General features: G+C 45.1%; 1 annotated feature.

The window, feature by feature from the left end:
- Window positions 19,121–19,662: an enhancer, noted in NCBI's record as "H3K27ac-H3K4me1 hESC enhancer chr9:91110399-91110940 (GRCh37/hg19 assembly coordinates)". NCBI's record gives its function as "activates a minimal SCP1, AML or CMV promoter by ChIP-STARR-seq in naive H9 embryonic stem cells {active_cell/tissue: H9 hESC(naive)}" and the evidence as "EXISTENCE:reporter gene assay evidence [ECO:0000049][PMID:30033119]".

The raw sequence follows: 26,028 nt of genomic DNA, 5'->3' as shown, positions 1-26,028 counted from the left end.
GAGAGGGTTCCTGGGTCTCATGTAAGAAAGAATTCAGGGCGAGTCCACAGTGCAAAGTGAAAGCAAGTTTGTTAAGAAAGTAGAGGAATAAAAGAACGGCTACTCCAATGGCTGGGCGCAGTGGCTCATGCCTGTAATCCCAGCATTTTGGAAGGCTGAAGTGAGCGGATCGCAAGGTTAGGAGATCGAGACCAGCCTGACCAACATGATGAAACCCCATCTCTACTAAAGATACAAAAATTAGCTGGGTGTGGTGGCACGCCTGTAATCCCAGCTACTTGGGAGACTGAAGCAGGAGAATGTCTTGAACCTGGGAAGCGGAGGTTGCAGTGAGCCAAGATCATGCCACTGCACTCCAGCCTGGGCAACAAAAGCAAAATCTGTCTCAAAAAAAAAAAAAAAAAAAAAAGAATTGCTGCTCCATAGACAGCGCAGCCCCGAGGGCTGCTGGTTGCCCATTTTTATAGTTATTTTTTGATGATATGCTAAACAAGGAGTGGATTATTCATGCCTCCCCTTTTTAGGCCATATAGGGCAACTTCCTGATGTTCCATGGCATTTGTAAATGCCACGGCGCTGGTGGGAGCGTAGCAGTGAGGATGACCAGAAGTCACTCTCGTAGCCATTTTGGTTTTAGTGGGTGTCAGGCCTCTGAGCCCAAGCCTGCACGTATACAACCAGATAGCCTGAAGCAACTGAAGAATCACAAAAGAAGTTAAAATGGCCAGTTCCTGCCTTAACTGATGACATTACCTTGTGAAATTTCTTCTCCTGGCTCAGAAGCTCCCCCACTGAGTACCTTGTGACCCCTGCCCCTGCCCGCCAGGGAACAACCCCCTTTGACTGTAATTTTCCACTACCTACTCAAATCCTATAAAACTGACCCACCCCTAGCTCCCTTTGCTGACTCTCTTTTCGGACTCAGCCCACCTGCACCCAGGTGATTAAAAAGCTTTATTGCTCACAGAAAGCCTGTTTGGTGGTCTCTTCACACGGATGCACGTTGACAGTGGGTTTCGGCCGGCTCCTTTACTGCAAGCTGTTTTATCAGCAAGGCCTTTGTGACCTGTATTTTGTGCTGACCTCCTATCTTATCCTGTGACTCAGAATGCCTTAACCATCTGGGAATGCAGCCCAGTAGGTTTCAGTCTTATCTCACCCAGCTCCTGTTTAAGATGGAGTTGCTCTGGTTCACGCACCTCTGACAGAAGTGCTCATTGCTACTGGGTTATCATGGCTTCTAAGTGTTTTCATGGCCAGAACTAGGAAACATTTATGTTGTAAAAAGAGAAAAATAAATCCTGAGTTCATTCTGATATTTCTAACTCAGATCTAAAATTATAGAGGTTTTATTAAACTTAATTTCTTTCTTTTTTTTTTTTTTTTTTTTTTTGAGACAGGGTCTTACTCTGTTGCCCAGGCTGGAGTGCAGTGGCGCAATCTTGGCTCACTGCAACCCCCACCTCCCGGGTTCAAGTGATTCTCCTGCCTCAGCCTACTGAGTAGCTGGGACTACAGGCACATGCCACCATGCCCGGCTAATTTTTGTATTTTTAGTAGAGACGGGATTTCACTAAGGGAGGAGACCACCCCTCATATTGTCTTATGCCCAATTTCTGCCTCCAAAGAAAGAAGAAGTAAAAACTAAAAGGCAGAAATGAAATCCACAAGCAGACAGCCTGGTGCCACACCCTGGGCCTGGTAGTTAAAGATCGACCCCTGACCTAACCAGTTATGTTATCTATAGATTCCAGATATTGTATGGAAAAGCACTGTGAAAATCCCTGTCCTGTTCTCTTCTGTTCTAATTACCAGTGCCTGCAGCCCCCAGTCACGTACCCCCTGCTTGCTCAATGGATCACGACCCTCTCACGCGGACCCCCTTAGAGTTGTGAGCCCTTAAAAGGGGCAGGAATTGCTCTCTCGGGGAGCTTGGTTGTTGGAGACATGAGTCTTGCCAAAGCTCCCAGCCGAATAAAGCCCTTCCTTCTTTAACTCAGTGTCTGAGGGGTTTCGTCTGTGGCTTGTCCTGCTACATCACCATGTTGGCCAGCCTGGTCTCAAACTCCTGACCTCAGGTGATCCACCTGCCTCAGCTTCCCAAAGTGCTGGGATTACAGGCATGAGCCACCACGCCTGGCTCTAAACTTAAAATTTTATACCTGTATCTGTCTTCTTTTACACTGTAAAGTTTTGTTCTAAATGATCAAAAATTACTGATTTATTTTATTCTACAGTATAAATGTAATAGTTTCCAAATAACAATAGCAATCTTACTACTAAAATTAAGTCATTGGAATAAAACTTAAAATTTCTTTGTGGTTCTTTAGTCCTTAGGATCTATCCTACTGCAGATCAAAATATTGTTTTCAAGAGATAAGACTTTAGAAATCTTTTACTTAAAAAAAAATCTAACCCAACTGAATTAAAAACTTTAAAATGCTTTTACTCATTTATTCTTCCCCTACACCTTCTCCTCAACCCTTAGGTTCAAATCCTTCATTCTCTATAAACAAAGATGTTCAAAGGCTATTAGCACCTCTGTTTATAAGTAACAGGAACATAAGAGGTACCCCTAGACTGTCACTATTCACTTGGCATCAAGAAAATCTTAGCCTCATGGAATGAATTGGAAACTGCCTTTGCAGAAATTATAACTGAGAAAGTTATGACAGTGAAAAAGATCTGACCTAATCTAATCTATCTTGCTTCTAACCTCTAAGTTGTCCTTGTTCAATCCTGGGAGAAGGCTGAACTAACTTTGGGAGGAATTTAGTTTATAGTTCAACTTTGAAACAAAGAAGATAATAGTACTTTCCCCAAATAAACCCCCTTCTTGCCTGGGTACCAGTCTGCCTTTGTAGGACTAACAAATTAAGCTACAAAATTAGAAATTGCAGTTTAGAAGCCAGGCAGCCTCCAGCTGCAATGTCGGACCCTCCACAAATTGCTCTTGGGATGTTAATCACTGTTGTAAAACCTAAGATCAGTGCTTGAGATATTTTGCAAACCCTGCATTCCGATGCACAAGCTGAGGCCACCCAGACTGGTAATCTGGCTCAACTTGTTCTGCAATCCCACCCAGGAATAGAAGACAGCAAGAAAAACTCACTTCAATCCCCTATGATTTCATCTCCAACCTAACCAATCAGCATTCCCCACTTTCCCACCCCCTATCCACCAAACTATCCTTAAAAACTCCGATCCACCAAACTATCCTTAAAAACTCCGATTCAAATCAGGAGACTGATTTGAATAAAAATAAAACTCCAGTCTCCTGTAGAGCCAGCTCTGCGTGAATTAAACTCTTCTCAGGGCTGGGCACAGTGGCTCACACCTGTAATCCCAGCATTTTGGAAGGCCAAGGCAGGCGGATCATGAGCTCAGGAGGTCGAGACCATCCTGGCTAACACGGTGAAACCCCGTCTCTACTAAAAAATACAAAAAAAAAAAATTAGCTGGTTGTGGTGGCGGGCGCCTGTAGTCCCAACTACTCAGGAGGCTGAGGCAGGAGAATGGCGTGAACCCGGGAGGCAGAGCTTGCAGTGAGCCGAGATCACGCCACTGCACTACAGCCTGGGCAACAGAGCAAGACTCCGTCCCAAAACAACAACAACAACAACAAAAAACGTCTTTCTCTATTACAATCCCCCTGTCTAGGCAGCGGGCAAGGAGAACCCCTTGGGCGGTTACAAATTGAAGGGCTTTCTCTCTTTTATTCTTCTCAGGTGCAACTGTATAAAGTAGAGATGATCTGTTCCTTGAAGGGTTTGGTAGGTCACATCTGCAAAATCATCTTGGCTTGCCTTTTGTTTTGTTTCTGTGGATACATTTTTGGTGATTCCGTTCATTTAACAGTTAAAGGTCTATTCAGGTTTTCTGTTTTATTCAATGAGTTTTGGTCACTGATTTTTCTAGAAAGCTGTCCATTTTGTCTAAGGCTTTAATTCAAAGGTATAAAATATTCATAGTATTCTCTCATAACTATTAAAATATTTACTTTATCCATAATTGGATACTCTGCTTTAAATTGTTTGTTTCTTCTATCAGCTTGCCTGACTTTGGTACCCTGTGGATACTGAGTGTTATTATATATAAAGTTTTGGTGCCACAAAATAAATAGCACTCGAATATAAGATTTTCTTTTTAATTCTCAGCAAGGCAAGGTACTTCTATAGAAGGGTGCGCCCTTACAGATGGAGAAATGGTGAGCGCACACTTGGACAAGGGAGGGGAAGGGGTTCTTATCCCAGAGGCACGTGGCCCCTGCTGCTGTGTCCTTCCCCTATTGGCTAGGGTTAGACCGCACCGGCTAAACTAATTCCGATTGGCTAATTTAAAGAGAATGACAAGGTGAGTGCTTTGGTGGGAGTCAGGGCAGAGCAGGTAGCAGGTAATCGTAATGAGCTAGGGTGGAGCAGGTGATTGGAATGAGTTAGGGTGGAGCAGGTGATTGGAATGAGTCAGGGTGGAGTAGGTAATCGAAAAAGGTTGCTTTATGAGGAAGTTAAGTTTAAAAGTAGAAGGCAAAGAATTGAACGTACTGACATATTAATTATTTGAAAAGAAATTTAGAACTCATATCTAACAACAGGGACAATTGTGTATGTTACCTACACATAATTAATATATGAGCTACATATAATGAATGAGCTTGATATAAGGACAGGCATAGATCCCTTTTGGTGCAGGGATCTATGCCTGTCCTTATATTAAGCTCATTAATTATATTGTTCAAATCTTCTGTGCCCTTTTTGATTTCTCTCTGCTGATCTCTCAATTTCTCAAAGACTTATGTTCCATTTTCCCATTGTGATAGTGGACTTGGCAATTTCTTTGTATTCTGTCCTTTTTTGTTTTATATATTTTATCAGAATTTTTTTTTTTTTTTTTTTTTTTTTTTTTTTTTTTTTTTTTGAGATGGCGTCTCGCTCCATCTCCCAGGCTAAAGTGCAGTGCTGAGATCTCGGCTCACTGCAACCTCCGCCTCTCAGGTTCGAGCAATTCTCCTGCCTCAGCCTCCCAAGTAGCTGGAACTGCAGGCACCCACCATCACGCCTGGTTAATTTTTGTAGTTTTAGTAGAGACGGGGTTTCACCATATTGGCCAGGCTGGTCTCAAACTCCTGACCTCGTGATCTGCCCACCTTGGCCTCCCAAAGTGCTGGGATTACAGGCGTGAGCCACCGCGCCTGACCTGTTTTATATATTTTGAAGGTATATTTTGTATCTACAGATAGGATTATTATATATTCTTTACAAGGTGCTCCTTTTTATCATCAACTAATGAAGTCATTACTTTCTTCATTCTTTTATGCTTATTGATGCTTTTTACTTTAAGGAATACACTTTTCCTGATGCTAATTTTGGGTCACCCTGCTATCCCTCGATCCTCTTCACCCCAGTCCCAGCCAGCAGAGCCCTCCAGGGTCATCTGGCTTGGGAACATGGCTGGGGATTGAGGAACTGGGTGGGAGGTATCCCGGGAGGTGGCATTGTGCTCTGTACCTGGCAGGCATTTAATAAATGGGGGTTGTTAAGGCTATTTACAAATTTTCCAAAAATGCACAAAAGCAGAGGGCAGGGATCCCAGTTATCCCTTCCGTAGCTTCAACCACCAACTGTACCTTGCTATATGGCTTCATCTGCTCTACCCCCGCCCATCCTGGATTCCTCGAGTACTCCTGCACCATTTATGTATCTGCTTATTGATGCATTTTGCTGGAACATTCTTTTTCTTTTCTTTTCTTTTCTTTTTTTTTTTTTTTTTTTTTTGAGACAGGGTCTCACTGTGTTGCCCAGGCTGGTCTTGAACTTCTGAGCTCAAGCAGAATTGAGGCCAGGCCCCTCTGCCTTGGATTCTCGAGTAGCTAGGATTACAGGCACATGCCAACATTTTGCTGGAACATTCTAAAGCAAATCCCAGACATGGTGTCATTCCACCCATTGATACTTCTTATAAAATTAACTTTTCACACATAACAAAAATAGCCAATTTGCAAAGCTCCAAAAACAGAGCGCAATATTATATTATTGCCCCAACTGTCTGTGAAATATGTTTTTACAATTGATTTGTTCAAATTAGGATTCAAACAAGGTCCACCCTTTGTGTTTGGTTAGTATACCTCCAAAGCCTCTTTTTTTTAGGTCTGTAATCTATAAGAGTCTCCACTGCCCCCATTCCTGCCCCCAGTTATTTATGCCACAGACTTGTGGACACTTCCTTGGTGGTTGCCCAAAAGCCTTGTTCACACTAGGAATCTGGCCAGTTACTTCCTCTAGGTGGACTTTAACCTGTTCCTCTATCCCCATCCTTAGTTTTTCACTAACTCACAAACCACCTGGCCCTAAGAAAGAGAAGCCACACTTTGCTGGCTTTGATGACCAGGACATAGGCCAGACAGCTGGCAGCCCAGTGGGAGAGGCCAGCAGTGTTTTCATGCTGGAGGTTAAACTGAATTTCAATTGTTTTGTCACAAATGGGGATTTTTATTAATAAAAATAACCAGGACACTCATTCTGGCCATCAATTTAACTCTTATTGGCTTCGTTCCATTTTCATTCCTGTTGAAAATACCATACATAGCATTAGGACTTTAAAATGGTGGTTTCTTCTTAAAACACTGGATTACTATGCATGTGCATTAGGGTAATTTCATATTCTTCTGTTTGTAAAATGACTCAGTGACAGTTGCTATAAAAATTTCCCTTCTGTATGTTTAAAATCACTACTATTTTGTGGTATTAACATACTTTGGGGATTTTGATTTTCCCCACTCCTTTTACTTTTTTTTTTTTTTTTTTTGAGATGGAATCTCGCTCTGTTGCCCAGGCTGGAGTGCAGTGGTGTGATCTTGGCTCACTGCAACCTCCACCTCCCGGGTTCAAGTGATTCTCCTGTCTCAGCCTCCTGAGTAGCTAGGGTTACAGGCACATGCCACCACGTCTGGCTAATTTTTGTTATTTTTAGCAGAGATGGGGTTTTTCCAAGTTGGCCAGGCTGGTCTTGAACTCCTGACCTCAAGTGATCCGCCTGCCTTGGCCTACCAAAGTGCTGGGATTATAGGCATGAGCCACTGCACCCAACCTTCCCAATCCTTTTTGTATAAGACCATGATTAACAGCACAATGAGATTAAAAACAGTGACACATTTCTCTGGATGCTAGATGTAAAGTTAACAAAAATGACCTGAGTGTCTTTATTCTTAAGCAAGTCAGGAAAATAAACAGGGTTTCTTTCAATTTGCAAAGCTCCAAAAACAGAGCGCAAGGCTAACCAACTCCCTAAACTGTGTCCACTGTGGGGGAGCCCACTGCACAATCCCAGTGCCTCAGGATGCACCCAGGGGCTTCTGCACATTTGAAGGGGCTTCTAGATGGAAAAGAAGTGCATTGAATGACACAGTTTTTTTGTTTGTTTGTTTTGAGACATAGTCTCTCTCTGTTGCCCAAGCTGGAGTGCAGTGGTGCAATCTTGGCTCACTGCAACCTCCAACTCCCGCGTTCAAGAGATTCTCCTGCCTCAGCCTCCCAAGTAGCTGAGACTACAGGCATGCGCCACCACACCTGGCTAATTTTTTTGTATTTTTAGTAGAGACGAGGTTTCACCATGTTGGTCGGGCTGGTCTCAAACTCCTGACCTCAAATGATCCATCCACCTCAGCCTCCCAAAGTGCCAGGATTACAGGCGTGAGCCACTGCGCCTGGCCAGATGACACAGGTTTTTTGTTTTGTTTTGTTTTGGTTTTTTAACACAGAGGTAATTCTCCTCTACGGGTCTTCTTAAGCGCACAGGAAAACCTAAATTGAAATAACAGTTGTTAAGACCAGTTCGTAAGGGTGCAGATGTTATAACGTTTAACTAACAAAGTGAAAAGACAAATAGGGCACTTTATAAAATCAAAGTACACTTAAATATTCAGATGAGAAAAAGTGTTTTAGGGTCAGGTTATTTTAGGATTTCCTTGCAAAATTGCCATTTTTGTCCATGTGTGGTAAAATTAAACAAGAGTTGACAATTTTGTCCTTATCATAAAAATATGAAGTGGATTTTTAAAAGGAAGTATTTGTTCTTATGATCCTCATTCTCCAGAAAACTATTTGAAGTTACTGAGAAAATGACCAGATTTCTTAAAATTATGAATATTTTCCAAAGGTCGTTTAGAAGTCACAGTGAGTAGCTTATATCTAACAACTTTTTATACACACATGGCCAGACGCGGTGGCTCACGCCCGTAATCCCAGCACTTTGGGAGGCCGAGGTGGGCGGATTACCTTAAGTCAGGAATTCGAGACCAGACTGGACAACATGGTGAAACCCCATCTCTACTGAAAATAGAAAAATTAGCCGGGAGTGGTGGCACATGCCTGTAATCCTAGCTACCTGGGAGGCTGAGGCAGGAGAATGTTTTGCGCCTGGGAGACGAAGGTTGCAGTGAGCCAAGATCCTGACACTGCACTCCAGCCTGGGCAACAGAGTGAGACTCTGTCTCAAAATATATATACACACACATATTGATCTAGCAATCCTTCATCTCTAATTTTATTCTGCAGATCTACTCACGAATGCCCCAAATTGTGCCTAAGGACATTCATTGAAGCATTTTTATAATAACAAACAAAATTAAATGTCTATTAGTGGGAAACTGCTTAAAGATTTGGGGAGGAGCATCCATTCACACTATCACAGAGTTGTTTTGTTTTGTTTTGTTTTGTTTTTTTGAGATGGAGTTTCGCTCTTGTCGCCCAGGCTGCAGTATAATGGCATGATCTCGGCTCACTGCAACCTCCACCTCCCGGGTTCAAGCGATTCTCCTGCCTCAGAGTCCTGAGTAGCTGGGATTACAGACACGTGCCACCATGCCCGGCTAATTTTGTATTTTTAGTAGAAACAGGTTTTCACCATGTTGGCTAGGCTGGTGTCGAACTCTTGACCTCAGGTGATCTGCCTGCCTTGGCCTCCCAAAGGGCTGAAATTACAGGCGTGAGCCACCACCCCTGGCCTATCACAGAGTTTTGATCAAAAGAGAAGAGAAATCTATTGTATTTCGGCAGAAAAATGCCTGAGTTGGTAAAAATGGAAGGTGAACAGTCAGAATTCAAGAGGTTATGCCCAGGTCACCTAGACATCCTAGACTAGGTCAGCAAGAGGAGGAGGGAGGGAGTATACGTTTGCATTCTTGCAACAGCAAGGGGCAGGAAAGGCAAGATTGCAGGTGGTGCGAGGCCAGAGGGAACGGAAGACATAGCTGCACAGCCCCACGCAGGCCCCTCTCCGCAGCCCCGGCAGAGACCCTCTTCAGGATCATGGTCTCCAGCTGAATAAAGCCACATGCAACCGAAGCAAATGAAGTGAAGGAACTGGGGCTCTGGTTAGCTCCTCCTAAAGAAGCGTGGGCTGGACAAGGAGTAGTTTGGGAAGGGTTTGTGTACCAGATGAATGAGAAAGCCACAAAGGGGCTGGCACTGGGCTGCAAACCAGGACAGTAGTGTGCCTGTGGGCCTATCTGTTAGCGGACAAACAGCACCCAGTTATATGGACACCAGCACAGCCCCCAGAAAGAGAATCCAAGCCACAAATGGAAATTTAAATTTTCCCGTAGCCACATTAAACACAGAAAGTATACACAGGTAACACTGATTTTTAAAATATAGCACAGTGAGACTAATGTGCCAAAAATACTAGCATTTAAACGTCTAACCAGCAGTACATAATTACTGAGATATTTTGTGTGCCGAGTCTTCCAGTTCTCACACTGGTAGCACATCTGCATTGAGATCAGCCACATTTCCAGTGCTCACTGCCACACGTGGCTGTGGCTACCATGACGGATGAGGCGGGTCTAGAGGCAGCATGAACTGATTATCATACCCAACAAAATTACTTCTCTTTATGGGATACGGCCACTAGACCAACTAGATCAACTGCTCATCAACGGCGTCCACACATGCACCGTCCACATACATTGTTACATAATTCTCTGAAATAGCCAAGACCAAACATACTTATTTAATGATCTGTGGGTGAGAGTCTCTGTGGTAGACCCAACCACGTTCAATCCATGCACAATGATTCAACTAAAGTAGAACTTTTCAAAGGTTTTTGGAACATGACCCCAATGAGAATTTATTTTATGTCAATCCCAAACATATAAGTAGGTAATAAACTTTGGTGGGGACTCTCTGCCCTTCTGAGCTCTCAGTCAGGTGCTGTCTGTGAGGCTCTGGGGTGTTTTCTCAATGTGGCTTGAGGTCTACTGAACCCACACAGGACCCAGCAGTGGCCCCAGCCTCACTGTGAAAGCCCGGGTCATGCTTGGGTTTGTGGTGTGAGCTCCTTCCCTGAGGGAGAGGCTCCCCGATCCCAGGATGACACAGGACAGGCGGGAACAGAGGACACCACACACAATAAACACACACGCACCACACACAACACACGTGTCACACACCATACACAACACACTCATACCATATACATACCACACATACACCACAATATACACAACACACCTACCACACACACCACATATACACATATCACACCACATGCACCACATACACATACCACACACACACCACATATACAACACACCACATACACACCACGTATACCACACACCACATACACCATACACCACATATACCACACACTGCATATACATACCACAAACACCACATGCACCATGCCACATATACACATACCACGTACACACCACACGCACACCAGACACACCACACACACACACCCCTCGCACACTGCACACACTGGACTCACACCACATATACTATACATAGCGTAAACACACAGCACACACCACACACCACCCAAACACACACACACCACACACCAGGAGCAGGGCCCAGGGCCTGTCCTGGCATCCCCGTGGCTGCGCTATCTCGCTAGTGCTTTGCTTGCACAGAGTGTGGGTTCTTCAGCTGCCCTGTTGCTCACAGGGTCCAGCTTTCGAGTCTCCCACTGCAATGACTTTGTCAGCTGGGGTGGTGACTTTCCGAACAAGAGAATGGGTGGCCCAGTCCCCCACATTTGTGATGGCAAGTTCACATCCCTGTGAGGCCCTTGAATGAGGTGGCAGAGCGCATAAAGGGTCCTCTCTGGTGGACACAACTGCACGGTGTGACATAGCGGGGACACCTGCATGAGAAGACCTCACAGGGAAGTCTGTTGGTGACAGAATGAAGACAAACACCAGTGTGTGTGCATGCATGCTGTGTGCATGCGCCTGTGTTTGACAAGGAGGAGAGGATACAAGGACTTGAGTACATATACATGACACACACACACCACGCATGACTCTTGCCTCCAGCGCTGAGTGAGGCCAGGCTCACCGGGCTGGCCCTACCCTTCTCCTGGCACTCTGTCCCTCTAACGGAAGCAGCTGCGGCTGCCTGGCCCAGGGCCTCTGCCCCTTCCCTAACCCACTCTTCCTGCTCCCTGGGCCTCACTGCAGTGTCCTCTCCACAGGTGGATCTTTCTTCCCGGCCTCTGTCAGGCCGGTTTAGTTCAAATGGTGCCCTGTACTACTGGCACTCAGCATGTTTTGCACGTGGAGCGAAGCAGCCAAATCTCTATGTTACATGTATTTGTCTAAGGGTTCCCACGTGTGCAGCATAATGAGGAGTGTGACATTCATCCCCCCATGGCTCTGAGCATCATGAAGGGGCTGGTGGCTGTTGCTAAGTGCTGGCTGGGTGGCCTGCTGTAGAGCCTGCGGTGAAAGTGGACGGGCCCCCCTCTCCTTCCTCTGCCTGAGGACATCCAGGTAAGACCAGCTACAGAGCTCAAACATTTGAAATGACAGCAGTGAGGATGAAGCAGCCCATGGTCGCCCAGGGCCTGAGTCAGGAAGATGCAGACACCGTCAGAGGCGAGAGCCTCAGACAGTGGCTTGGACATTCGTGTCACTCTCAACTCTGCTGTTTCCGGAGAAACCGGCCTCAGCCACTCTGCAGTCCAGTCCTGCTGTGGCCCCATCCACATAGGCCTGCTTTGCTTCAGGCCTATCAATACATTGCTGCACTTAACTTTACCCCAGCTCCATCCTTCTCCCCAGTCCTAGAAGGGTTGTCTCTTCCTGTTTCCTAAAGATGCCAGAAGTTCTCTTAGTGAGCAGTCTCCTTCAGTCTCACTGTAATGGGGCAATAAATCAGAGGACAGCCTTGTCCCAGAGCAAGCCTCTGGGGCTCCCAGTAAGAGTCTCGGCTCAGATATCACCTCCCCAGGATGTTTGAGAACGCACATTCCAAAGTACCGTCCCCACCCCGGGCCCGCTGCCCTCCTGTCCATCTTGCTTGTGACTTGCTGACTTACTGTCTCCTCGCCAGACCATGAGCCTCAAGGGCCAGCCCTCATCCCACTCACCGTGTACGCAGGACTAGAGCAGAGCCCAGCACACAGGAAGGCGCCGGTAAACCCGGAACTGTGGGTGGGCACATATGAGTGTAAATGGAGCAGTAGAGTGAGGAACAAGGGGAGGAGGTGTGGCCTGGGGGACACAAGGAGGATGGCAGCCTCCTGTGTGCTGGCACGGCTATCCAGGCCACAGTGTGAATCTATTCAGGTCCCCTGGACACAGGCAGCACCAGGTCAGGATGCTGGCATGACAAAGGGCCTGCAGCCTTTGTCCTCCAGGCTAGATCATGGAGATCTTAAAAACTGAGAGATAATTGACACACTGTAAAATTCACCCACTGAGAGCATTATTCAATGGGTTTTAGTAGATTCACAAAGTCAGACTCCCATCACCACCAATGATCTCCAGAACATTTTCATAGTCCCCAAGAAAAACCCCAGACCCATAAACAGTTACACTCCCTTCCCACCTGCCCCTCCCAGGCCCCGGAAACCACCAATCTACTTTCTGCCTCTTCAGATTTGCCAGTTCTGGACATTTAATATCAGTGGAATCATGAAATGTGGCCTTTTGTGACTTCTTTCACTTAGTACTTTCTTTTTTTTTTGAGACAAAGTCTTGCTCTGTTGCCCAGGCTGTAGTATGTACAGTGGCATTATCTCGGTTCACTGCAACCTCTGCCTCCCAGGTTCAAGAGATTCTCCCACCTCAGCCTCCTGAGTAGCTGGGATTACAGGCGCACACCACCACGCCTGGCTAATTTTTGTAGTTTTAGTAGAGACAGGGTTTCGCCATGTTGGCCAGGCTGGTCTCGAACTCCTGACCTCAGGTAATCCACCCGCCTCAGCCTCCCAAAGTGCTAGGATTATAGGCGTGAGCCACAATGCCTGGCTACACTTAGTACATTTTTAAAATGCATTTATCTTATAGGATGTATCAGAATGTCATTCCTTTTTATGGCCCAAATAATTCTCCATGCTAGAGATAAACCACATATCCATTCGTCAGCCAACGGACATTTAGCTTGTTTCTGCTTTTTGGCTATTGTGGATAATGCTGCTGTGAACATTTGTGTGGATATGTCTTTTCATTTCCACTGAGGAAAAGAATTGCTGGGTCACATGGTAATCCTGTGCTTAACTTTTTGAGGAACCTCCTGTTTTCCACAGCAGCTGCACCACTTTATTTTTATTTTTTGAATCTTTTTTTTATTTTTTGAGACGGAGTCTCGCTCTGTCACCCAGGCTGGAGTGCAGTGGCACAATCATGGCTCTCTGGCAGCCCTGACCTCCAAGGCTCAAATGATTCTCCCTGCTCAGCCTCCCTGGGACTACAGGCATGCGCCACCACACCCAGCTAATTTTTGTATTTTTTTGTAGAGATGAGGTTTTGCCATGTGGCCTAGGCTGGTTTCCAATCCCTGGGCTCAAGCCATCCACCCACCTTGGCCTCCCAAATTGTTGAGATTACAGGCGTGAGCCACTGCACCCGGCACAGCTGCGCCCTTTTGCATTGCTTCCCACCAGCAGGGTAGAAGGGTGTCAATTTCTCTACCTCCTCACCAGCACCTGTTATTGTCTTTTTTACTAGAGTCATTCTAGAGGGTATGAAGCGAGTATGAATACATATCTTTTGAGAGCAAATATATCTCTCCTCTCTATCATCCCAAAATTTTAAAAACCCTTTCAGTACACATAATAAAAAACAGATTCCAGCCAGGTGCAGTGGTTCACATCTGTAATCCCAGCACTTTGGGAGGCCGAGGCGGGCAGATCACCTAAGGTCGGGAGTTCGAGACCAGACTGACCAACATGGAGAAACCCCATCTCTACCAAAAATGCAAAATTAGCTGGATGTGGTGGCGCATGCCTGTAATTCCAGCTACTTGGGAGGCTGAGGCAAGAGAATCCCTTGAACCTGGGAGGCAGAGGTTGCAGTGAGCCGAGATCATGCCATTGCACTCCAGCCTGGGTGACAAGAGTGAAACTCCGTCTCCAAATAAATAAATAAATAAAATAAACAGATTCTAATGCCCCACAAGTGCTGTGGCTCAAGAGGTGTGGACATACAGGTGAGGCAGACCAATTCCTACTAACAGGACTGTGCTACTTATTTACCATCCCTCTGCCTCAATTTCCACATCTATAAAAAGGTGACAGTAATATCTGTTAAATGAGGAATTAATGAGATGACATATGTAAACCATCCTGAAAAGTGCCTGCAAACAGTAAACTGTTGTTTCTTCTTACTATTACTTTAAAATAAGCTCCTATTAGCAATAGAGATACTTCTTTTTTTGAGAAAGAGTCGCACTCTATCACCCACACTGCATTCAGTGGTGCAGTCATAGCTCACTGCAGCCTCGACCTCCTAGGCTCAAGTGATTCTCCCACTTCAGCCTCCCAAGTAGCTGGGATGACAGACATGCAGCATCATGCCTGGCTAATTTTGTTCTGTTTTGTTTTTTGTAGTGACAGAGTCTTGCTATGTTGTCCAGGCTGGTCTTGAACTCCTGGCCTCAAGTGATCCCCCTGCCTCAACCTCCCGAGTAGCTGGGATTATGGGCATGAGCCACTGTACCCGGCAGAGCAACTTCATTTGTTGCAGCAAATTAGAAACAGTGATCCACTGGCTATCATGTGATCTAATCAAGGGATAAATAAAACAGTGACAATCTTAAAGACAGCTGGCTGGGGTACAAGGCCCCAGTCAGAGACCCTCTTATATATGTGACTGACTTCGTGGCATTGCTGAGCAAGAGAAGCAAGATGGCCTGGACTGATCTGAACAGAAGCCACTGGAAAAGTCATACTCAGACACTAATGGGAGAGACTGGAGGAGGCGGACCACAACCTTTCAAAGTGTGGGGTTTACCATGCATACTAATGAGTATTAACACTTAGCTGCACAGTTTAAAGAACAGCAATAAACAGACTACCCCCAAGTTAAGACGCAGAGTGGCACCTTGCCTGCACTGACACAAGAGCTACTGGCCACACATGGCTATTTAAATTAAGTGAAATAAATCTTTTTTTTTTTTTGAGACAAAAGCTCGCTCTTTCGCCCGGCCTGGAGTGCAGTGGCGCGATCTCAGCTCACTACAACCTCTGCCTCTCTGGTTCAAGTGATTCTCCTGCCTCAGCCTCCTCAATAGCTGGGACTACAGGCGCCTGCCACCATGCCCGGCTAATTTTTTGTATTTTTAGTAGAGACGAGGTTTCACCGTGTTAGCCAGGATGGTCTCAATCTCCTGAGCTCGTGATCTGCCCGTCTCAGCCTCCCAAAGTGCTGGGATTACAGGCGTGAGCCACCGCGCCCGGTCCAAAGTGAAATAAATCTAAAAATTCAGTTCTGCCGTCTCATAAGCCCCATTTCCAGCCCTCTGAAGCCATGTGTGGCTCATGGCTACCATCCTGGGCAGCACAGACAGAACATTTTCTCCATCACAGGGAGCTCTATGGAGCTTCCTTAGATCCTCAGACCACAGGCTAAGTTCCCCCCCAACACACTCAGCCTGCCCCTTCTGTAACACGGGCGTGGTAACAATGCCTGTCAGGGTAAGGTGACTGTGAAGAATTTTATGCTCTATATAGAAAACATACACATGGATCGAAGTCCCTGTGTGTGCCTGTGTTCTGTGGTTCATTAAATTTGAGCTCTTACTACAATGAGAAGGGCATGACTTGGGCTCCTGCCCAGTGCCCTTGGGCAGGCACAGTTCTCCTTGAGTCCTTATTTTGTTGGGTGTTAGTAAGATGTGCTCAGCTAATCTTACTAATCTTACTTTGGCTCCCGGGTGTTTGGAACGTTACTTTTACAGCTAAGCTTACTTTGGCTTCCAGGTGTTTGGAACGTTCCTGGCCTACACAAAATTTCTCTCCATCTTGGCTTCTTCCAAGAGGTGCTTCTAAAATTCCAAGCTGAGGCAGCTTGATCCTGGGGAGGTCCAGCCAGCTTGGTACTCACTTGGAGAGTGTTTATAAGCGGCACTGTCTTGATAGTAGCTATCCGCAGACAACACGAGGAAGGAAATTATAACCGAGCATAAGGTCCTATCCCCATATGTATGCTCCATGTCAAGACATTTCTGTGCCCGTCTCCCCTAAGTGAGAGTTTCCAAGCGTCTCTCTAGGTCCTCACACCCACAAATCCAAACAATGCTTTATTCTTAAGAGACTTTCATTCAAAGATACCCTGGTAGATTAGATTCTACTTCTTAACAGCAACTATCAAGTAATCATAATTCTAAGAATTTCTTTTTTTTTTTTTTTTTAGACGGAGTTTCACTCTTGTTGCCCAGGCTAGAGTGCAGTGGTGCGATCTCAGCTCACCGCCACCTGTGTCCCCCAGGTTCAAGCGATTCTCCTGCCTCAGCCTCCCAAGTAGCTGGGATTACAAGCACACGCCACCATGCCCAGCTAATTTTGTATTTTTGGTAGAGAAGGGGTTTCTCCATGTTGGTCAGGCTGGTCTTGAACTCCTGACTTCAGGTGATCCGCCTGCCTTGGCTTCCCAAAGTGCTGGGATTACAGGCGTGAGCCACCATGCCTAGCAATTCTAAGAACTTCTTTGGATCAGTTATCAAATGGAGATTTAAAAAGGCAATCTCAAACTTATAACAAAGTCTCTGGGGGCGGGGGTGCACTTTCGGAGGCAGCCTCCCAATCCAGCATGGCTGCTGTGTATCCATTAACTGTTATTCATTACTGCTATAACCACAATTTCTCCAAAATAGAGAGGAAAACACCCTGCCTAGGCCAGACACTTGGCTTTATTCTTTGGCATGTAATTTAGATAAGAATATCACTGATACTCAGTGGGGCTAGCACACACACACAGACAGACATAAAATCAACCAAAGCAGGTCTGGAATGGCTGCTGCCTGAGTCTTCTGTGACACGGGGTATAACGTCCAGGTTAAGGTTTTCCCTGTCAGAGGCAGACAGTGGCATCATTCTAATTCCCTTTTCCCTTGGCCTCAAGCCCATCTCACAGTTCTTCTGCTGTACAAAGAAAGTAACCAGTTCCCAAGCGCAGCCACTCCACCTTCACTGTAGTACAGGCATTCTTAAAACTTGAATTTGCACGTGACACTACAGATTTTCAAATATATACAGAGCATTCAGGTGAAAGCACAGCTCTCACAACAGAATGAGTGTGGTTGGCATGACCTTGAGTTGCTCTCCTCAAAAACTGAGACAGGGCAAACATGGACACATAAGAATGGAGAGTGAGGCCCATTGGAGCCCCAAAGGCACATCTTCCCTTTAGATCTGGACCCCTGCTATCATTCTTGGGTGGATCTTGGAGAAAGATGCATGTCCCAAGCCTGAGAGGAGACAGGGCCCTGGCAGTCACTGCCTGTGGGGACAAGGCTGGAGCTGGCACTGGACTGACCGCTAGCTCACACAAAGATGATGCAGTCCATGGAAACAGTGGGAGGGCCTAGGGTGGCTTGCAAAGGACACCAAAAGGGAAATATAGAGGGGATCCCCAGTCACACCAGTAAAGCGAGAATATCCCTTGAATGACAGCAGTGGAACCTGACATGGAGAAACCTTGTGACCAAAAACACACACAGAAGGCATTAGAACAGCAAAAATAAGGTGCTCCCTCCAGCAAGGGATTCCAGTAGAAGAGACTCTTGAAATCCATATGAATTGTTATCCCAAACAGCCTCCGTAACATCTCGCCTCCAGACTGTCCCTGCTAGCATCTGCTCCTGGATGGCATTCTGTTTCGCAAATGACTTTCCCTTTCCCCACCCCAAAGGCCTCTGACATGTTTGATCTGTTTCTCCCTCAAAGTCCAGGGACTTTGGCAGCAAAGGATTAAACATACCTTTTGCTTCCTTCTCTCATCCATGTCCATTTTGGACACGGGAAGGAGGCAGCACAAGGGAACGTGAAGAGCCAGGCCTGACTCTCGGGCGAGCCCCATGCATGGTCTGGTGTCAGTGGACGCGCTACGGAGTGCACCCGGCCCTGTGCAGGACCTTGATGGGATATTTTCCCATATAAATTGACCCTGGTGCTGGGCTGACTTGTAAGATCGCCTCCATAGCTAATTTTTCTCAAAAAAACTTTCAAAACACCCCACAGAACCACAGATGTCAGATGACCACCACTGCTTCTGGCCCTCCACACTGTCATCTGTGTGCTCTCACATTTGCTCCAGCCAGCACATTTCAAATCCACACAAACATGGTGCAGGGCATATATGCATGGAGCATGCACAAACGAGTTTCCTCCCATCTCCAAAGTGGGCTCTGGAAGGTTCTTTGGCAGAGCCGGTTTCTCACAGCAGTAGCCTGAATTCTTTTTTTTTTTAGACGGAGTCTTGCTTGTTGCCCAGGCTGGAGTGCAGTGGCGTGATCTCAGTTCACTGCAACCTCCACCTCCCAAGTTCAAGTGATTCTCCTGCCTCAGCCTCCCAAGTAGCTGGGATTACAGGTACCCACCACCACACCTAGCTAATTTTTGTATTTTCACCATGTCGCCCAGGCTAGTCTTGAACTTCTTTTTCTTTTTTTTTTGAGAGAGTGTTTCACTCTTGTTGCCCAGGCTGGAGTGCAATGGCATGATCTCAGCTCACTGCAACCTCCGCCTCCCAGGTTCAAGCAATTCTCCTGCCTCAGCTTCCCAAGTAGCTGGGATTACAGGCATGCACAACCATGCCGGGCTAATTTTGTATTTTTTAGTAGAGATGAGGTTTCACCATGTTGGTCAGTCTGGTCTCGAACTCCTGACCTCAAATGATCCTCCTGCCTCAGCCTCCCCATTACAAAGTTGGGATTACAGGCGTGAGCCATCACGTCCGGCCCGAATTTTGATGGAGGGAAATCCTGGTGAGACCGCTCAATAGTAACAAAAAGGGGGCTCTTGGCCACAGCCCGATGACCCAAGTCCACCTCCTCACAGTTCCCACCCTGAGGGCAGTGCCCTCCCTAGCACAACCAACTTAATTCCCAGCTAAACTCACCTAAAGCAGATTTCAGATAAAGAACTACAAGGAGTGAAAATAAACTGCATGAGGGTCTATACTCAGCTTAACTGTTTTGCTTGTATTCTTGGGGTTTGGTTTCGGCCTTTTGCACTCTGGTCTGTGGGCCATGTCTTTGGGATCTGCCTTTCTCACTGGCTAACCTTCCTTGAGTCTCCAGGCAGGACCGGATTTCCAGCATCAGGAGGGCCTGCCCAGGGCCAAGGTACTTCGTTGAGCGCTTGGTCACTTGTGGGCCTTGCAGCACGGTCTCGCTCACTCAGCCCTGTCCCCTGCAGTGTCCACAGGCCGAGTGACAAGCTGCTTCCGGGAGCGCATCTCCGTGGCTGTGCCTGGATGCCCAGCTCAGCCAGCACTTGTAGCTTCTTGTGTTCCTGTTCTTGATCTCAGCCACTCCTCCCGCGCTTTTCAACAAGAGCTTTGCAACTCATGACAGCCTCCTCCTCAGGATCTTTTGGTTTTCACCATTTTCTTTCCTAAAGGGGAAACCTTTAGCTTTTCAGGACTTCAGCCCTGTCACTGGTCACCAGATTTTACCCGGAGCACCATGGCGATCAGGGCCCCCCTCAGGCATTCACCTCATTCAGACACAAGTGGATATCCTATCACACAGGGCACTGGGTCTAGTCCCAGGGCTTTGAATGGAAGCAACACGCCACCTGGGAGCTTGTTAGCAATACAAGTGCTAAGGCCCGGCCCGGTGGCTCATACCTGTAACCCCAGCACTTTGGGAGACTGAGATGGGAGGATCACCTGAGGTTGGAAGTTTGAGACCAGCCTGGCCAACATGGTGAAATGCCATCTCTACTAAAAATACAAAACGTAGCCAGGCATGGTGGCGTGTGCCTGTAATCCCAGCTACTTGGGAGGCTGAGGTGGGAGAATCACTTTAACCCGGGAGGCAGAGGCTGCAGGGAGCTGAGACTGACCCACTGCACTCTAGCCTGGGCGACAGAGCAAGACCCTGTCTCAAACAAAAGCAAAAAACAAATTCTAAGGCACCAGCCCACAACCACAATCATAAACTTCTTCCCACACTTTCCTTTTAGAATTCATGTCTCATCTCAGGAGCCTTGAACAGCTTTATTGAGGTGGAATTTACATACAGGTCATAAAATCACCTATTCTACTTATTTTAGTAATTTTAACCAATCTTAAACATTCCCCTCATCCCAAAAGGGCTCCTTGTGCCCATTCGCAGCTACTGTCCACAGGCAGCCCAAATCCCAGCCCCCTGCTAATCCACTTCCTGTCCCTACAGTTTTCCCTCTTCAGGACATTTCATATAAATGGAACCATACAATACATGGTATTTTCCCCTTGGCTTCTTTCATTTTATCAGTTTTTGAGGTTCATCCATGTTGTAGCATGTACTTCGTCACTTTTCATATCTGAGCAAGATTCCTTTGTGCGTATATAACCTACTGTGTTTATCAATTCACCAGCTTATGGAAATTTGGGTTATTTCCAGTTTGGCACCAAGAATAGAGATACAAAGATCTATATGAACTACATGATGCAGCTACAAGTATTAGTTTACAAGTTTCCTATAGACATATATTTTAAAATTCACATGGGTCTATTCCTACGAATATGGTAAATTTGTATTTACCATAGGAAATTACCAAACTGCTATCCAAAGGGGCTGCAACTAGTTTCTCAACACCCTGACCAACACTTCTTACTATCTTTTATTATAGTCACCCTAGTGTGAGAGAAGTGGTATCTCATACTTTTAATTAGTATTTCTCTAATGGCCAAAGATGTTGAGCATCTTTTCAATGTTTATTGGCCATTTTATATCTTCTTTTAGAGAAATATCTATTCAAATCCTTTGTCTTTTACATGAATTACTTCCTGAAGATTTCTTCATACATTCTAGATATAAATCTTTTATCAATATGATTTGCAAATACTTTTTCCCATCTGTAATTTTTTTCATTTCTTTAATGGTGGCTTATGAGACACAAGTTTTTAACTTAGATGAAGTCCAATTCATTAGTTTTTTTTTTTTTGTTTTTTTTTTTGAGACAGAGTCTCGCTCTGTCGCCCAGGCTGGAGTGCAGTGGCACAATGTTGGCTCACTCCAACCTCTGCCTCGTGGTTTCAGGTGATTCTCCTGCCTCAGCCTCCTGAGTAGCTCGGATTACGGGTGCCCACCATGCCCAGCTAATTTTTTTGTATTTTTAGAGTAGAGATGGGCTTTTTCCATGTTCGCCAGTCTGGTCTCCAACTCCTGACCTCGTGATCCACCTGCCTGGGCCTCCCAAAGTGCTGGGATTACGGGTGTGAGCCACCGCACCGTACCAATTCATCAATTTTACCTTTGAAAGATTGTGCTTTTGGTGTCACACGAGAAATTTTTGCCCAACCCAGAGTCATGAAAATTCTTGCCCATGTTTTCTTCTAAGTTTTAGAGTTTTAACTCTTACATTTGGGTGTATGGTCCATTTTGAGTTAATTTTTGTGGAAAATATAAGGATCTAAATCCATCATTTTGCATGTGAATATCCAATGCTTCAAGCCTCATTTGTCGAAAGGGCAAATCTTCTCCACATTGAAATGCCTTGGCACCTGTGAGCAAAACTGATTAAGAATGAATCTAAGGGCTAATTTCAGGACCCTCAAATCTTCAATTGATATATACATATATATGTCTATCCTTATACCACATTGTCTTGATTACTACACCTTTATAGTAAATTTTATCATTTGGAAATGCTCCAAATTTGTTATTTTTCAAGATTTTTTTTTTGACTATTCTGAGTCCTTTGCATTCCCATAAAAATTTTAGGATCAGCTTGTTAATTACTGAAAAAAAGCCTGCTGGGATTTTGATAGGGACTGCCATCTTGAGTCTTCTAACCTATGAACATGGAATGTCTCTCCATTTATGTAGTCACTAATTCCTCTCAGCCATATTTTGCAGTTTTCAGTGTACAAATCTTGCACTTTTGTCAAATTTATTCTGAAGTATTTTGATTTTTTTTTTGAAATGGAGTCTTGCTCTGTTGCCCAGGCTAGAGTGCAGTGGCGTGATCTCTGCTCACTGCAACCTCTACCTCCCAGGTTCAAGAGATTCTCCTGCCTCAGCTCCCCAAGTAGCTGGGACTACAGGCATACACCACCAGACCCAGCTCATTTTTGTAGTTTTAGTAGAGACAGGGTTTCACCCTGTTGGCCAGGCTGGTCTCGAACTCCTGACCTCGTGATCCTCCCACCTCGGCCTCCCAAAGTGCTGGGATTACAGGCTAGAGCCAACGCACCCGGCTCTATTTTGACCTTTTTGATGCTACTGTGGACAGTATTGTTTAGTTTTGTTTTCACAATTTATTGCTATATTGCAATATAGACATATACAACTAATTTTCGTATATACATCTTGTATCTTACAACCTTGCTGAACTCATCAGCTCCGTTGTGTGCACACGAGTGTGGTTATATGTACCCTTTAGGATTTTCTACATACAGAATTATGTCATCTGCAAAGCAAGACAACTTTATTTCTTCCTTGCCAATCTGGATGCTTTTCCTTGCTTTATTGCACTGGTTAGAAACTGCAGTACAATGTCAATAATGAGGGGTGTGTATAGACACCCTTGACTTACTACTGATCTTAGGGGTATATTCTCTCGTCGTAAGTATAATGTTATCGGTAACTTCTTTTTATGGATGTCTTTTTTTTTTTTTTTTTTTGAGATGGAGTCTTGTTCTGTCGCCCAGGCTGGAGTGCAGTGGCGCGATCTTGGCTTGCCGCAACCTCCGCCTCCTGGGTTTAAGCGATTCTCCTGCCTCAGCCTCCCAAGTAGCTGGGACTACAGGCAACTGCCACCACGCCTGGCTAATTTTTGTATTTTTAGTAGAGACGGGGTTTCACCATATTGGCCAGGCTGGTCTCAAACTCCTGACCTCAAGGGATCCGCCCGCCTCGGCCTCACAAAGTGCTGGGATTACAGGCATGAGCCATCGCACTTGGCCTATGGATGCCTTTTATCAGACTGAAAAAATTATCTTCTATTCCAGTTTTTTTCCATTTTTATCATGAATATGTGTTAGATTTTGTCAAATGCTCTTTCCCCATCATTTGAGATGACTCCTGCCTTCTGTCATCTATTAATAGGTAAAATACATTGTTTTTCTGGTATTAAACATGTCTCACCTGGCCATGTAGCTAAATCTTTCTATATGTTATTTGACTTGTTCATGGTTTTTTGTAACTATCAATATTTTCATGAGGGATTTTCTATCAGGGTAATACTGGTTTCACAGAATGAGTTGGTAAGTATTCCTTACTCTTCTTCTTCCTGAGTCTGTGAAAAATGGTATGTTTTCTTCTTTAAATGTTTGGCAGCACTCTTCTTGTTTTGTATGCTTTCAGGAATAAACCAGAGGTCATCTAAAAGTGACTGAGCTTCATTGCTGATTAAACTACCAACATCATTTGTACTGATGCCTGAAGGTTTTTCCCCATCAAGAACAGTCCCTTCTTAATAGCCAAAGGCAGATAAGGGTCACCTGGCTGGGGCTATAGGTAAAACTAAGCCTGGCTCATGAATGGGCAAGTCACAAGTACAGCTGGTCTTCCGCATCTGTGGATTCAACCAATCATGGATCAGAAATATTTGGGAAAAAAACAACAAAAATAATATTCATTAACAAGTACAGTAGAACAGCTATTTATATAGCATTTACATTGTATTAGGCATTATAAGTAATCTAGAGATGATTTAAAGTATATGGGAAGACGTGTGCAGGTTATATGCAAATACTACACCATGTTATATAAGGAACTTAAGTCTACATGGTTTTTGGCATCTGTAGGGGTCCTGGAAACTGAGGGACGACTGTAACACTATGTGCTGATAATCTCAGCAATCTGGAAGGCACATTCACAGAACTCCAAACTCAACAACTTTAATCAATCCCACAGTTCCAAACTCTTTTAAGATTCATATATTGATATAAAACTTAATCGCAGGTTTGAAACAGGAAGATTCAGGTCATTAGGAGCATAAAATCATTTTCTCCTCATCCCTGAGATACAGCCTTGCAAATATTAGAAAATAAAAAAAACTCCATGACTTTTAACTACCTCCAAAATCTAAAATGGTAGTTCTTTAACCTGAGTGATGGTAGGTCCGTGCCTCTAACGTTACTTAAGGGTGGGGGGAACGTGCTTCTTAAACTGCAGTTTCCTGGGCCCTAATTTCAGTCTGGGTGAAGCTCAAGAATCTGTACTTTCAACACCCCTCACACAGTTGCCGTAGCTGGCACTCGCACTGCATTCAGCACTCGCCTGAGGTGGGTTAAAAGTATCTGGCCTGAGGACACCTCAGTACATAAGTCCTTAGGGTAATGAACTGCAACCTAACTTAGTATGGAACTAACTGAATGCCCAATTTAGGCATACAGTCATGCATGGCATAATGACATTTTAGTCAATAGCAGACAGCACATAGACAGTGGTCCCATAAGATTCTAATACTAGGCCAGGCACAGTGGCTCACGCCTGTAATCCCAGCACTTTCGGAGGCCAAGGCGGGCGAATCACAAGGTCCGGAGTTCAAGACCAGCCTGACCAACATGGTGAAACCCTGTCTCTACTAAAAATACAAAAATTAGCTGGGCATGGTGGTGCATGCCTGTAATCTCAGCTACTCAGGAGGCTGAGGCAGGAGAATTGCTTGAACCTGGGAGGTGGAGGTTGCAGTGAGCTGAGATTGCGCCACTGCACTCCAGCCTGGGCAACAGAGCAAGACTCCATCTCAAAAAAAAAAAAAAAAAAAAAAAAGAATTATAATACTGTATTTTTACTGCACCTTTTCTGTTTGGTGTGTTTACATGCAAATACCATTGTGTTCCAACTGCCTACAGTATTCAGTACAGTGACACGCTGGACAGGTTGGTAGCCTAGGAGCAGCAGGCTATCCCAGGCAGCCTGGGTGTGTAGTAGGCTATACCTTCTAGGATTGTATAAGTATACTCTAAGATGTTCCTACAACGAAATATAAAATTTTGCAAAAAGTGTTCCCATCAAAAGCGATGAGTGACATTACAGTGCATAACAGTAGATGTTTTCATACTTTTGTAACAGTCTCAGACAATCATAGCAGCCAGTCAACACAGGCACTGTTTAAATTATATAAAAAGGTACACATCGAGTGGTTATCAATCAAGCTGTCTCTGTGTATCAGTCGTTTTTCTCTACCTCATTTCTGTTTTCTGTTCATAAATGCCGTCTGGCCACGTGACAGATGGGAGTTCTTTGAACCTACCCTGGTTTGGAGGGCTATCCGATTCTAAAATCATGAATAAATGCCTGTTAAGATCTAAGCTAAGTTGGTAATTTTGTCTTTAATGGCAATAACAATCTCACATTCTTACTGATCACTCTTAAAGACCATCCATCTCTGATGAGTAACAAACTTAATGTGCAATAAATTCCTGTCTCTTGGATCTCTAATTTCTTTCTGCCCCAGAGGAGTAACTTAATGGTGAGTTAGAAGCACAATGGCAGATACTGATGAACAAAAAGCAAACAAAACACCACTTTTTAAGGATCTAAGGTAGCAACTGAATTTTCTGGAAGGGGTTGGGCTCATGACCTTTTAAAAAGTGTTAACTGTTGATAAGGCAAGGGAAATAAAGGTACGAAG

Source organism: Homo sapiens, chromosome 9 (genome assembly GCF_000001405.40).
Source record: "Homo sapiens chromosome 9, GRCh38.p14 Primary Assembly".
In the NCBI taxonomy this organism is placed as follows: Eukaryota; Metazoa; Chordata; class Mammalia; order Primates; family Hominidae; genus Homo; species Homo sapiens.
This window is presented reverse-complemented; position numbering and strand designations above follow the sequence as displayed.